The following is a 16,288-nucleotide window of genomic DNA, read 5'->3' on the forward strand; positions in this document are numbered from 1 at the left end:
ACTGAAGGATTACTGTAAAACAAACTGTTTTCCAATTCCTCTTCAGATGAGTCCTTGACATTAACATGGTTGGATTAACATGGACTAGGATCCAACTGCTACTAGAGCAGATAGAGAAGGGCATTAAGAAAACACAGTATCTTTCCATTCATTACCTGCTTTGGTAACAATTATTATTATCACCATCTATCTCAATATTTTACAGGAAATGATACATCATGAATATCCAGAACCCCATGCAAGTACACACCAAAATCAAATGCAAAGATTTATGGTTTTATTTGTATTAATCACATTATTATGAAAATGAGGGTCACACTGATTATTAAGAACATAAATGATTACAAACAGAAACTTACTAACGGTATAATTTTCATCAGTTTATTCCCTCCGTGTGTGTGTGTGTGTGTGTGTGTGTGTGTGTTCTGTTTGTTCGAGACAGGGTCGCTCTCTGTCACTCAGGCTGGAGTGCAATGGCATGACCTTGGTTTGGGAGATCTTGCAACCTCTGCATCCTGGGCTCAAATGATCCTTCTGCCTCAGCTTCCCAAGTAGCTGGGACTACAGGCATGTGCCACCATGCCTGGCTAATTTTTGTATTTTTCGGACAAAATAGATAGGAGATAGGATTTCGCCATGTTGCCCAGGCTAGTCTCGAACTCCTGGGCTCAAGCGATCTGCCTGCCTCAGCCTCCCAAAGTGCTGGGATTATAGGCATGAACTACCACACCTGGCTGTGTGCATATTTTTATTATTCTTTATTATTCTTTTTTATCCTCTTACCAGATTGCTGCTTCATCTTCTTTCTGTCCATTCTCCACCCCCCACCCCAGGGCAATTAGGATACTCCTTTTTGGCTTCAAATTCAACTTCTTAAGTTTTTATCACTATATAACTATATCACTATATATGACGAAAAAATGTGAAAGACAAATTCTCCCCCAAACCATGAAATCCCTTTCCTTGAGATATTTTCCTTGTTTTTGTGCTTAAAAACAAAAAACCCAATGAAGGTCAATGTAGATACAAATTAATGTATCACTGTTCTCCTATTATATTCTAAACACTTCTCTACAGTACTTGCCTCTGTAACCATAATTTATAAGGGTCACAGAATATCCTATTTGAATGTACCATAATTATCTGTGAGGAATTTAAGTTTTAACTTTTTGCTACAAATGACCCTGTGAATAATATGCCTGGTTCAGTGCTTTCACAGTTTTTTTTACCCAACAACAGTGCCTAAGAGTTTGAGGACTTAGCCAGAAGTAATTATCAGCTTTTGTCCAACTGGTTTATCTTAAATTCTGTGTAATTTTGCATTTTTAAGTATACAATTTTTTTTTTACTATGGTTAATAATTACTGATCAGTTAAAGTTATCATCCTTTGAAGTCAGTTCCTAACAAAACTGATGTGCTAGGATTCTCTACATAATTATCTTGTGGGTTCAATTGTCCCTTGTATGAGTATTCTGATTTGAATAGTGTCAGGGCCTATAGCTACTTCCACACTTTGGGTTATTTCCTTAGTGTAAGTTTTCAGAAATGAAATTAATAGATTAATGGGTGTGATCACTTTTATAGTTTCATCTTTGATGACAATAATTATTTAAGAGTTAAGGCATCTCATTTTAATTCACCTTTTTTGGACTACTAATCACATTGAATATTTTCTTATTTTTATCTACCAGTTATAACCATTTTTCTTTTATGAATCATCTATTTCTGTTCTTTGCCTCCAAATGAAGGGATTATAGAATTATGCTATCTTGGGTAAACTACATTTCTGTTTTTTTCTCTTCTAATAGATACTCAAACATTAATTTTTCTTTTTTCAAAAAAGAATTTGATTACACAATTATAATACAGAATGATTCCAACCACTTACTAGTTACATCATATCCAAAACAAAGCAGTTGTGGTTTTGGAGATCACATTACTGTATTCCAGTATTTTTTATTTCTTGGACAGAGAAAAATCAAACCCCTAATCGAACTGAAATGATACAGGTCCACTCATAGAACCAGGTCTGCTCCTCTGTCAGTGATACACAATTCAGCCTTGATTCATATTGTAGGCCTTGATTCCAAATTCATATACTACTTATTTTTTCAATCAACATTGTTTGTAAAACAGAGCCTTTTTATGGCTTACCTTGTCCATATCTATTAATGTTACAGGAATGTTTCTTCCAACTACCACCATCACTGTTCGACCACAGTTATCAACACCTATAAACAGGAAATGTCATCAGCACCCAGAAACTTCATTCCAAGAATACTATTTGTCTTGGGCTCTGACTTTATAAAATATTCTATGTGAATTTAAAAGATTGAAAACAAGGAAGTATAAGTTGCTCAAATTTCATCTTCCAATTTTTTTTCTACTCTGCAGACAACACCTATTTTTTAAAGCTTCATGAGGGTTTTGATCACTGCCCTTTTAAGAGAAGACCTCTTAAAGATTTTAAATCAAGAACAAACAGCCAAAGATCTTTTAAAATATTTTATTATTTTCTAGAGACAGGATCTTGCTCTGTCCCCAGGCTGGAGTACAGTGGTGTGATCATAGCTTACTGCAGCCTCCGTCTCCAACTCCTGGGCTCAAGCAATCCTCCCATCTCAGCCTCCAAAGCAGCTGGGACTACAGGCATGCACCACCACACCTGGCTAATTTTTTCATTATTTTGTAGAGATGGGGTCTCACCATGGTGCCCAGTCTAGTATTGAACTCCTGGTCTCAAATGATCCTCCTGTCTCCACCTCCCAAAGTGCTGCAATTACAGATATGAGCCACGATGCCCAGCCCCCAAAAACTTTTTATAAACAGCTTTTTGCTTAAGCTCACTACAACTTTGATCCAGGCAAAACTAAATAGCACTCAAATCTGAAAATTACTAAAAAGTACCGTCTGTAAAAGAAATACAATGCAGAAAGAGTGGGAATCTGGGAACTTTCACTCTCTCCATCATATATTTACGTAAGGTTTGAATTTTGTAGTAGCAAGCATATGGTACTTTTAAAAGCAGAAACATTTTTTAAAAGGGACACTAGCATGAAATAAAGTTGGCCAATGCAGAACTGTAAGTTGAAAATGTTATAGATTGGGATGTTATTTTTAAGATCTTGATGACAGGCAAAACTATCTTTATTAGTACAAAACCATTTTGTTCATAGATACAATAAATGAAATCAGAGAAAAATGAATTCTCAAATAGCATGCTTGGTAGGGCTCTTAATTAGTGAAAGAATAAGTTACCATATATTTAAGCTCACCTGTTTGGTATAAGGCTTTTAGAGAAGCAATATCAGACAGATCCTCAGATCTTGCTTGACATAACCAGCGATTATAACTAGGGAAATAAATGATATAATCATTATAATAAACCCTTGGAAATTAAATTTACAAATGGGACCAATTTTTAATACCCTTCCCTGACCCTAAAAATTTTCAAGTATATATTTCATTATAATAGGGAAGGAGTTAAAGAAGCATTAAGCCATGTAGAATCTCTACTACATGTTATTGATAAAATAAACACAAATGAATTATTGAGAAAGGAAGGTGTTCATTATTTTAAAAATCCTTATAATCAAATGAAGGTTGTACAGGTAAATGGCTAAGATACCAAGTATTCAAACTAACCTTGTTTTAAAATACTATTGTTTTCCTTTACTAAAAACATGCATAGAGAAAGTCTAAAGCAATGGCAGAGTTTCAAAACAGATGCTCACTCACTCAACAAGGATTTGAGTGCTTACTCTATGATAGTTACTGAGAATACTATCATGAAAGGACATGGTTGCCTCCCTCAAGAAGTTCACTTTTCAGGGGAAAAACAGGCAAGTGCTGTACATGTTATGTGGGATCACAAAGGAGTTGGGTAAATTTATCTGGGAAGTCCTGGAATATTTAATCATCAGTTAGTCAAACTAGTTGTAGTGATATCCCACAGACCAGATCATATGGACTGCAGTTTGGCTTTGGCTAAGAGGATGTTAAAGCTGGAAGAGACATTAAAGATCTTGCAGATGGAAATGACATGCAAAAGATTAATGGTCAAGTTCATCTCAGACTTCCCAGCCTATTAAATAGTAGAGTTGAATTTGAAGTTGCACTCAGGTCTCTAGATTTCCGGAAAGGTCAGTGCTTTTTCTACTATATCATACTAATTTCTTGAAATTAAAAGTGCCAATTACTTGATTGTGAAAACGCTTTCAAGACACCTAAATGTAGGAAAAGCAACTCTGAAGTGTCTAAATCATATATGGCAATATCCAGTAACAACAACAACAAAAAGCACAACTAGGAGAGGGGAGATTTGGCTTCTAATCCTACTGCTTTCGGTGCAAACTTACTAAAGTCATTTACCTTTATGGAATTCAGTTTCCTCACCTGCAAAATGGTGTTCATATGGGAGGGACACCTTTCAGCTATAAAGTACAATTGCACAACTGAAAATATTTAATGGGAAGTCTGTCACATACAGACTGAAATCAACAAGTGACATGCCTGTTAGTTTCACAGATATTGTTACTGCTTGTAAAAAACACAGTGTTACTGCATTAGTTCTATAGACTGCCTTCTCAAATTTGTGATTTACCAATCTATGCAAATTGAAAAGTCAAAGACAGTAGCTTTTAATTTTGTTTCAAAATATAATTTCAAAGTCAAGAAAATGCCTATGTTTATTGTAGTTCTCCCTAAATCATATGCACTATTCCATATTTTCATACAGTCATTTCCTATTTACACTAAATCAAAATTCTATTTCTTTACTTAAAAAATTATTTTCTTTGACAAATAATGTATGTAATGTATTGATATACGGATACATTGTAAAATGGCTGAATCAAGCTAATGAACATATCCATTATCTCACATATTTATCATTTTTTTTTGGTGAGAACAGTTAAAATGTATTCTTTTATCAATTTTCGGGTATACAACACATTCTTATTAACTACAGTCACCGTATTATATAATAAATCTCTTATTCCTCTCGTCTAACTGAAATTTTGTATTCTTTGACCAACATCTCCCCAATCCCACCCCAATACCACCAGCATTTGATAACCACTTTATTCTCTGTTTTTCTGAGTTCAGTTTTTTTAGGTTCTACATATAAGTGAGATCATGCTATATTTGTTTTTCTGTGCTTGACTTATTTCACTTAACATACTGTCTTATATCTTTAGTATGAAGGTTAAAAGACAAAACTATTAATAATAGCAACAATAATTTGTTAAGAGACAAAAATAATATAAAAACGTAAATTATGACATCAAAAATGTGGCAGTGAAGAATAAAAGTATAGAGTTTATTATGTTTTTTAAATCATTCTATTATATACTAATTGTTTATAATGAGACTAAACAGCAAAATGTATATTACATCATATGGGCACCACAGTATCTAGCACAAAGCATATAACAGGATTCAATTAATACCTATTAACTTCTATACTCTGTTCATGTATCCATTGGCTCATTTTTCAAAGATTTATTGAATAAATGCAGTGTTTGCATCATAGTAGGTACTAAATTCTTTGCTAAATGAAATAATAAACATGAGTATTATGTAAGGTATTTTGGGGCCTGAGATGAATTAAAAAAGGCTCTTGAGTTTAAGGTTGCATATGTGAGACAGACATATTACAGTACGAAGAAAATTAACTTTGTAATAAGAACAAGACAGGTAACCAGAAGTCTAAATACTCTATCAATCAAATATGTATGCTGAGAAGGGGACTGGTGGTGGGGAAGGAGGTGGGGTGAGAAGGAGCAGAGTGGAGGCAAATTCTAGACATGTCGTAGAAACAAATGCTCCCTTCTTTGTATCCCCAAAGACTTCTACCATGTTCAGTGCAAGATTTTACACACTTATTGAAAAGGCTATTTCTATTACATTAGACCACCAGATAGACAATATGTCATATTTGTCTCTCATTTCTAGCCAATTCCTAGGGTAGTTCCTGACACTCAATCTCTATATCTATATCTATATCTATCTATATTCAATGAACTCTGAAAAAAATTTTTTTTAACTGGAACTCAGGTGTACAAAATGGAATACATCATCTTTAATTGAAAACACTCGCATAACTGGTATATGCATGGTCCACTTAGAAGACTAGTTATATAATTATTTATCTTTAATGAAGTAATAAGCACCCTAAAATCTACCACTATAACAAAAATTAGCACTTTCACAATAACCTTCATCTAACCATGTGCTACTTCCCACCGTTATCTGGAATTCCAGGTTAATCATTTATTGCTTTCCTTTTTATATTGTTTTAAATTCATCTACATGTAGTCAATGTAAGACATTATTTTTTGTTTGTTTCTAACTATTTAAAAAAGCTTATCATGCTGTATGTAATCTCTTGGGTCTTACATTTTTGACTTATCATATTGCTAACATTCATCCGTATCACTGGATTTCAATGTCGTTGATTGATTTGGACAATCACAGGTTGAGCATCCCAAATCCAAAAATACAAAATCTGAAATGCTCCAAAATCCAAAACTTTCTGAGTGCCAACATAACAATTAAAACAAAAATGCTCACTGGAACATTTCGGATTTTTGGGATTTGGGATGTTCAACTGGTAAGTACGATACAAATATTTCAAAATCCAAACAAATCAGAAATCTGAAACACTTCTGGTCCCAAGAATTTTGGATATGGCATACTTAATCTGTATATATCATGTATTCATACTAGATAAAAACTATAGATTTTTTTCATTCACTCTCTCACTGATGGGCACTTGGGCTGTTTCCAGGGTTTTGCTATTGTGAAGAGGGCTACAATCAACTTGTTTTGCGTGTCTCCTGGTATACATGTGCATGATTGCTCTTGAGTAGGTACCAATGAGTGAAAGTGCTAGGTTACAGGGAATGTTTAATTTTAGGAGATAAGGACAAACCTCTTTTCCAAAGCATTGCACCAAATTATACTTCTATAAGAAGCATATGAGACTGTGAATCCCTGTCCTCACCAACACTTGCTACTATTAGATGTTTTAGTGTTTGCCAGTTGGATAGGTTAGAAATGGTAAAGCATTTCTCTGGTCAGTAATGAGGTTGAGATTCTGCTCATGTTGACTTGATTCTATGAGATGCCTGTTCCTATCATTTTTCCATTTTTTATTGGGTTATTTGATTGTTTCTCACCAAGTTGTAGTTCTTTACACATTCTTGATGCTGATCATTTGTTGTGTGTTTTGTGAATATCTGCCCCCATTCCGTAACTTGCTTTTTACTTTGTTTAAGCTTGGCTCTACTTTCAAAAGTTCTTAATTTTAATATAGTCAAAACTATTTTTTCTTTGGTGGTAAATGCTTTTCATGTCTTTAAAAAAATCTTCCCTTTCTCTAAGGTTTGAAGGATACTAGCTTAACTTCTTCCACAGGTTTCAGAATTTTTAAAAATTTAAGTCCTTAATCTATCTAAAGTTGATTTGTCCATAGTGTGAACACAGAATTAGTATAAACTCTAAAATGTTTAAACCTTGATTGATGATTAACAACTTGAGATCTAAAGATAGACTTTGGTTGACAAAATCTCTATGAACATATTTGTGGGGAGAAGTTTATAGTTTACATCAGATTCTTAAAGGGTTCATGATTTTTAAAAGGTTAGAATCACTGCTGAGACACTGGTCCTGTTCTGGTTTCTAAGGACCATGCAACAACTCATGATTGCAATCTTCATCAGGTTTCTTCTTTATTCTAATTAAGTCTCTGCCATTACCACTATAGATTGTGTAAGTCTGATTATTTAGTCATTATTTTAAAAAAATCACCAGTTGGGAAGAAAGAGTAAAAGCAAAAAGACTGTTACTCTTCTCACTCAATAGACAATACCCTCCTTTTTTTCTAAACTTCATTATTCAAAGAATATTTCATGTTTTCTATTACATTTCTTATAAACAGCACCTCACTTTTTGCTATAGTGTTTTGTTTTGTTTAAAGGAAGACATGCAATCTTTTGTTCCAATCCAAAAATCAAAACAAAGCTAAAAGGAAAATATGAACTCAAAATAGTTTCTGGGTTTCCTACAGGATATTTCCTAAATATCCTATATAGAGTACTTTCTTATTCCAAATAAACAAACTTCTATTATTTTATGAGTAAATATAATAATCATGGATAAATAATCGTACAAAATATGTCAAAATGGCAGAAAAAAATAGCCACTACAGTGCTCTAAATGCAGAAACACTAATTAGTTTCTCAATGGGTTGCAACCAACTGAGGTTGGACACTGTTCTCACAAAGCTAATATAAGCCAGTTTCTTCCAGTTAATAAATTACCATCCACCTGTACAGCCAGCAGCTGAATGACAAAAAAAATTTAAACTGTATCACTCTTAAAAGACTAATAACTAACCCATCTGTGTATAATCATCGCCCAGGGAAAATTCTGTCTTTGGAATTAGCAGATGCTTTCCCAGACCTTATACAATTGACCCATCCTAGATTTAGTTAAGATCTTTGTTGTATCCTCTTATTGACCCTGTACAGTAATTTAAACAATTATTCATATACTAATTAGTTTAACATTTTTCTCCTCTGCAAGACCCTAAGCTCCATGCAGGCGGGTGCTGTATCTGTCTTGCTTGTCACTTTATTACCAGTAGTATCCAGCACAACATTTGGCACATTAGTAAAAGCTTAATAAGTATTTAATAATGAAAAAGATAATGATTTTGTTGAGAAAAATGACATAAGAGTCACAGGCAATTGAATCTTAAGCCAGTCAAGTAATACTAATAAAAAAGGAAAGGAAATCTTCCTGTAAAATAACTTGAAGAGTTTCAAAAGCAGTATTTTTGAAAAAGAGTATCTAGGTTGCTTCCTAATTTTGGTAAGTAAACCAATGTCTACCTTATGATACACCCAAATCAGAATCACAACTGGATGACAGACCTGGATTAGAAAGCACGTCTAATTTTTCATGTTAAAAACAATTATTTTGAAGAGATACTGAGGTGACAAGGCAGTGCTACGAAAGGAGTGACATAAAACTATTGCCAATCCATGTGACCTTTAGTTTCGCTACTGATGGAAGAATTGAAGGCTTTTGAAAAGATATTTACTAACTAAAAACCTACTTACTTTTACATTTGTTCAACCTAATTAATTAACATAATCAACAGAAGCCAGACTCAATATGTGAAAATAAAAGCCCGATTTAGAAATATCAAGAGAAAGAAATTTTAAAAACTACAACCTACAATCTCAAATACGGCTGAGCATGCAAACAGTTGACATAGCTTAGTTATATCATAAACTCCTCAATAAACAGCCATCAATTCTAAAACTTTTTGGTCTCAGGACCAAAATATATCTATATAAAACACAGACATTTTTATGTTTTTATAAATTATTGAGGACCTTAAACATCTTTTGTTTGTGTCATTTATATCTACCAGTTCTCATTAGAAATAAAAACAGAGAAATTTAAAAAATATTCATTAATTTAAAAACAATGAAAAACCTATTTTGTGAACATAACTTTTTTTAAAAAAGCTGTATTTAGAGAAGAGTTGTATTTTTTAACTTGCAAATCTCTTTAATTTCTGCTAGATTCTCATATGTGCGTCTGCATTTAAATTACTGTAATATCACATAGTGAGTGGCCTCCAGAAAACTCCATTGAACACTGTGAGAGAATGTGAATGAAAAAGAAAAATAAGTCTCAATAACATTTTTTTTTTTTTTTGAGACAGGGTCTCTCTCTTTCGCCCAGGCAGGAGTGCAGTGGTGTGATCACAGCTCACTGCAATCTCCACCACCTCCTGGGCTCCTCAGCCTCCTGTGTAGTTGGGAACAGAGGCATGAGCCACCATGTCTGGCCAATTTTTTTCTTAAAGAGATCCTGAAATGCCTTTAGGAGGCTGTAAGTTTAAAACTATTTTTGTAATAACATTATTTGCATTTTTCACTGCATAGACATTTACATTGATAGTGCAAAAGCAACTAATGGGTAAAAACAGCTGGTAATAGCCTTACCACAAATCAAGGCAGTGGCACCAATAAACAAAAAAGGCCAGCTGCATTTAAGAATGTCTTCGATGTAGAAGTAAAGATTATTAATTTTATTAAATCAGTTCTTGAGAACCCATCTTTTTAAATTAATGGAAGACAAAATGGAAGAACACATAAAGTACTTCTGCATATTGAAGTGTGAAGTTGCCTTGAAGAAAAGCACTATTTGATTGAGTTGTGAGCTGGACTAGTTGCTTTTTTTCATGCAACACCATTTTTACTTCAAAGAATGACTGGCAAACTGTAGTTATTCAACATGAATATGTGGCAGGTGTTTTCCCAAAAATGAATAAAGTGACCCTGACATTTCAAGAAAAATAATCAACAGTATTTGTTGCCAATGATAAAACTTGAGCTTTAAATATATACATATTTGAAACATTTTTATTGTCATCAGAAGCTTGACAGTTCCTAATATTAAATACTTTTCTGATGAGATTGGTGATACTATACAATCGATACTAACAAATATAATTTTTTGATACTGTGTAATGAAATGTGTCAATACTTGGAGCTCTGAATAATTCAATGAATCAATACTTTCCAAAAAGCTAACGTATCATGTTATAAAGTCATGCTATACATTCCTATTATAAAATCTGTCCAAAGTACAGAACACCACATTTTAATATAATAGAATTAAAAAAATTCATGGATACAGTTTGAGATTCTGCATTACAACTATGTTTTAAAACACTACTATTTATCAAATTCTGGTATAGTATCAAAGAAGAATATCCCAATTATTTTAAAAGGCTGTTAAAATACTCCTCCATTTTCCAATTAAAATCTCAGTGAGGTCAGGTTTTCTTCATATACATTAGTCAAAACAACTTACTGCAGCAGTTTGAATGCTGATAGGACAATCTGGCTGTCTTCCATTAAATCAAACATTAAACAATTTGCAAGATTAAAAAAAAACACTGCTATCTTTCTCAATAAAAAAGTTATTTTAAAATAAATAAATAATTTCTCATGTGATAAATATTGATAGATACAACCCATAAAAACAAAAGCTCTCTGGGGTCCTCAACAATTTTTAAGAGTGCAAAGGAGACTCGATACTAAAGAAGTCCCAGATCCCAGTAATGTGAGGAGCCCAGGCACCGTATTTAATGAAAAATGTCCATCAGATGAGTCTTACACATATGGCCAAGTTTAGAAACCACTGAAAGTATCATTTGACTGTGACTGCCTCACTTGGAAAAGCTGTTCCTTGGTGCCCCCTAGTGGCTCATACGCTTTTGTTTTTCAAATTAAAATCAGAATAAAGGAAGACCTGGGATTGAGGAGACACAAAATACTAGTTCTGAAAGTGACTGGAGAGTTCATGTAGTCCAACTCCCACTTTATCAGTGGAGACAGATAGCATGCAGACATCATTACAATACAGCGTGAAAAATGCTATGCTATGCTTTGGGTGAGTACAGGGTATGAAAAAAGCATACAGGAGGTGGCATCTGTTCCAGACTTGGGAGGTAGGTCTCCAGAGGCAACTGCTTTTGAAATCTGGACAGAAATTGAAGGATGAGAGTAGCCCATTCAAAAGGAATGGCAAGTACCAAAGCTCAAAGATAAAACAAGCCATGATTTGCTCAGTACAGCAGTGAACAATTTTAAGAGCTTGACAAGTACCAGGTTCTGTGCTAAAGCTCATTACATTACCTCATTTAATGCTCACAAAAACCCTATGAGGTGCTAACCCTCCATCAACCCTATAAGGTAATGGATAGTAGACATTTATAGTTTGTTTACTTTAATTTTCTTTAGACTTTTTTGAAAAGCAGCCAGCTTTACAAAGACTTGATCTTTGGGAAAGCTTACCCAAAAGTACAAAGCTGCTTCTATGTTTTTAAAAGGATTCCTTCAAAATTGCTTTAGAAGACATATGGAAGAAATGGAATGGTTTGGATGTCTTGTAAGGTCCTTCGGATAAGTCAGGGAGAAATAAGGCTCTTTTAAATTTAATTCAACTGTAGATTATGCTTTAATTATAAACATAGTAGAGCTAAGTAAAAGCTTTATAACTGCCTTTCCCTTTTCTAATTTCTCCTTTTAGAATATAAACCTCGCATGGAGGCATTACTATTGTAGTAGACAGGGTAGGAGCTCTGAAATCAGACATGTATCTGACCACTGGTTTCACCACATATTAACTGTGGCCACTGATAACTTTCTTAACTTTGAGTTTTTGCACCTCCAAAATGAGGACGATATCTTCCTCACTGATTGTCATGAAAAATAAATTGGAATGCATTATATATACACGTAGCTCATGCATCAGATGCAAGGTTCCTTTCTTGCTTCTGATGTCCTTATGTATCTAACAGTCCTGAAGGGTTGTCTTACTTTCTTTGATGCTGCTTCTGCAGAGCTGCCTCTGATAATTGTCCCTGAAGGATCAGTTTTCTTTGCTTGTCAATATCTCCTTCCATTCGAGCAAAAGCATGAGAGCCAATGAAAGAGAGATCAACTCCCAAGCCTTCATCCTCCTCTTCTTGGTTATCTGTAACAAAAATGCAACTATCAATAGAGAGCTTATGCTAAAACTAGATAGTAAACATTGTGAATGCTGCAGTAAGGATGACAGTGAGGTAACTCAAAAAACTGGGGTCAAGGTTATTTTTGAGAATGAAACTGTAATCAGATTTAGGCATTTGTAAAGCTGAAATAATGAAAGAAACTGCCTGTCCATGTGTGACAAAGGTTTTAGCAATATGTGAAATCCAATCAGGGTGACCTGGGTGTAACCCTAGGAAGAAAAGAGTAGAATGTAGTCACACACAAAAAGACAGAAGTAAATAGATTGTATCTGGCTTTAAAGATGGCTCATTGCACAGCATCTGACAAAAAAGAAGTATAAAAAACAAGCATTTGGGAAGGTTTATATAGCACTGTTGAAGGAGGAAGCATTTGATTGCATAAATGCTCTTCTGTAAGGTGACATCCCAACATGGATGTACCAGGATCACAGAGTATGATCCACATTCCTTAAGAAATATTTCAGTTATAATTTAGCATCCTGGTTTTCTACACTGTCATACCAACCTAGTTATTTTGGTCCATAAGAGTTATAGTTTTCACTACAAATTAATAAATTAACTTTCTAATCTGTCCATACAAACACTGTGAGTTGGATTAGTAGAAATCAGTCTCTTGGGAACAGATTATCTCTTAGTGTGGTATTCACTGTCTTGGTAGATCTGTTAAGCAAAAACAAAACAAAACAAACGTCGTACCATGGGGAAATTCCCAAGGCAATGCCAGCACTTGAATTCCAACCTGGTGGACAATCAGCTGGAGTTTCCCCACGTCTACTTCACTGCTCCTCAAACTGACAGGCCAATAGATTGGAAGGGCCTGCTTTCATTAAAAACACCCCTCAAGTAAAGCTTGGTTATATATATTTTAACAGATTTAACATTCTGCTTGAAAATATTTAAGAACACTACGGCCTATATCTATAACATAAAAGTATTTTCTGAGATACGATTTAACATTCTACTTGAAAATATTTAAGAATGCTAAGGCCTACATCTATCACAAAAAGTATTTTCTGAGATATGAATGCAAATAAAACACTCTGGGAATGGTGGACAGAAGAGAATCTTCTTGCAAATTAATTAGTCTTATCTACTGTCCAGCACTCAAAGTGGTTTTGCTGTTCACCACTCATTATCACACTAAATGCATTTTATGAAAGAAAAATTCTATGGTAGTCACAGGCATGAGGATTTCAAAACAACTCTTTGCATTATTTCAAGGATATACTATACTGGAGGCTCACCCAAAGTGCATGACTACCCCTTCAGCAAAGTTTGGTTTCCAGATATTTCACATTTCCTGATGTTAGACCACTTATAATTCCCTCCAGTTGATTAAAGTTTATGTACTTGTGATAAAATCTTGAGTTGCTTCCTAAGATTTTGGCTTGGTGCTCATTTTTAAAAGAAATGTTCACTCTAGGAATTTCACAGTAATTCCCTAAACTGCTGGATTTCAAGACTCAGTCCCAGCACTGAAGCTTGTGAGGCATATCTCCACAGAAGGGACTTAAGACCTTAAACATGTACACATGAACATCACTACAAGATGTCACACAGAGCAGATTCAGAAGGCCCCCATCCTAACACGTTCTACCTACTGCTCCAACCTACAACAGTATATAACCCAAAGAAACAAAATGAATGGTTATAATATTCTTGTCTTAGTATTTAATGTTAAGTATGATTTTTAGAGGATACTGAAAGCTGTTTAAAATGTTAGACAATAACGTACTTTACTATCTCAACAGTGTTCTGCATGAAACTATAACCTCCATTAGGGTGAGAATGTTGTTATAGCCACCTCTTAATCCCCACTGTCTAACACAGACTTGACGTATATCTATCTAGCTATACTTTTATTTTTAATTTCAAGAATAGAACTTGAAAACTTCTAAACTGGTCTTGATAGTAGTCATGGTAATAGAGAGCTTTCCAAAGGTCAAGCTGAATTTCTTACTTCTTTGGTGATTGGTGCCTATTTTTGGCCCTAAGAGGGAGATTTAAAAAGTTAGAGCTCTAGAACTCACCTTCTGGAGCACCAGGTTTCTCACTTATTCTAATCTGTCGTTCAGGTACCACAGGCTCCCCTTCTGCATTTCCAATATCTGCAGGTAGGTAGGGCAATGATCGATTCTCCTCTTTTAATGACCTTGGGAAGTAGAGAGGTAGCAGCTTTTGGTAAGTACCCTGTGTCAGAAAAGCAAGACATTCTGTGAAAAATAGAACAAAACAAAGAAGACCTCAGCAGTACTTAGTGCTGTTCATACACTGTGAAGACAACCTCCATCAAGAATAAAGACTTTACCACTTCTGAGCTCAGACTCGATACTGTCTGAAACCCTCAATCAGCTTTTGTGTTAAAGATAAGGATATTGTTATCTAGCCAAGTTAAATGTGATGCCCATCCTAACAATTCCAGGTCACTGAACCTGGAATGCATAAGTCCTGCCACTCCTGTCCCCATCCGTACCTTCACTTCCTAATGATACCAGTCTCTCAAGACTTGGCTCAGATGCTAGCTACTTCCTTAACCCTCAGTGTGCCATCAGGGTCCGTTCAACCATGTTTAGCTTCTGAGTTGTTTGTGAAGGATTTCTCTTTCATGATGTTTATTCTTTCTTAAAAGTTTTTTTCAAAGAAAAAAGATGAATTTTACTTAAAAAAAACCAAACAGAATAAAACTCATCTTATCTTGTAATTCCCATATCGATTGGTCCACTGGACTAATAAATCTGCAATACATTAAAGGCATGTAGTGCTCTTATTTGTCCTATATCTTGAAGCATTTTGCATTTTCATCTTCCTAGGAATTGTTTTCTCATTACCTAGAATTACTCATCAATTATTACAAACTATACTAAAAAAGACTGAAATAAAATAGTAACAAAAAAATTATGGAATCACCTAGGACAATGAAATCATTCAAGAAATCATTTTCTTTCATTTTCATATTGTGTTGCCCATAGTATTGCATCATCTTTTAAATACATATATAAGATTGCAGACATCATCTTTATAGCCTTTATAAAAAAACTGAGATACAATCTTTAAAAAAAAACTGAGACAGAATTCACATACCATAAAATTCACCCTTTTAAAGTACAAAATTCAGTGTTTGTTTTCGTTTTCTTTTTTGAGATGAGGTGTTGCTATGCTGCCCAGGCTGTTCTCAAACTCCTGGACTCAAGCATTTTTCCCATCTCAACTTCCCAAGTAGCTGGGATTACAGGTGTACACCACCATACCCAGTTTCAGTGGTTTTTCACAGACAGTATTCACAAAGGGGGTACAAGGGGGTACAATCACCACCACTATTTAATTCCAGAACATTTTCATCACTCTAAAACCCATCAGAAATCATTCACCATTCCTCCCTCTCCCACACCTGGCAATTACTAATCTTTCTGTCACTATGAATTTGCCTATTTTTGGACATTTCATAAAAATGGAATACAGGGCCAGGCACAGTGGCTCATGCCTGTAATCACAGCATTCTAGGAGGCTGAGGTGGAGGTATCACGAGGTCAGGAGATTGATATCAACCTGACCAACATGGTGAAACCCCGTCTCTACTAAAATATAAAAAATTACCCAGGCGTGGTGGCGCGTGCCTATAGTCCCAGCTACTCGGGAGGCTGAGGCAGGGGAATCACTTGAACCCGGGAGGTGGAGGTTGCAGT

The 16,288-nt window shown here is 34.7% G+C and overlaps 1 protein-coding gene across 2 annotated transcripts in view; it reads right to left on the bottom strand.

Annotated features, from left to right (window-relative positions):
• GDAP2 (ganglioside induced differentiation associated protein 2) overlaps window positions 1-16,288 on the bottom strand; it is a 66,137-nt gene that overhangs the window by 20,937 nt on the left and 28,912 nt on the right. For both annotated transcript variants that reach the window (NM_017686.4, NM_001135589.3), the window contains exons 7-10: window positions 14,636-14,795; window positions 12,412-12,568; window positions 3,277-3,353; window positions 2,156-2,232 (exon numbers count right to left, since the gene is read on the bottom strand). In NM_017686.4, the coding sequence (NP_060156.1) occupies window positions 2,156-2,232; window positions 3,277-3,353; window positions 12,412-12,568; window positions 14,636-14,795 (471 nt within the window). The remainder of the gene's footprint in view (window positions 1-2,155; window positions 2,233-3,276; window positions 3,354-12,411; window positions 12,569-14,635; window positions 14,796-16,288) is intronic.

This window comes from Homo sapiens, chromosome 1 (assembly GCF_000001405.40).
Source record: "Homo sapiens chromosome 1, GRCh38.p14 Primary Assembly".
In the NCBI taxonomy this organism is placed as follows: Eukaryota; Metazoa; Chordata; class Mammalia; order Primates; family Hominidae; genus Homo; species Homo sapiens.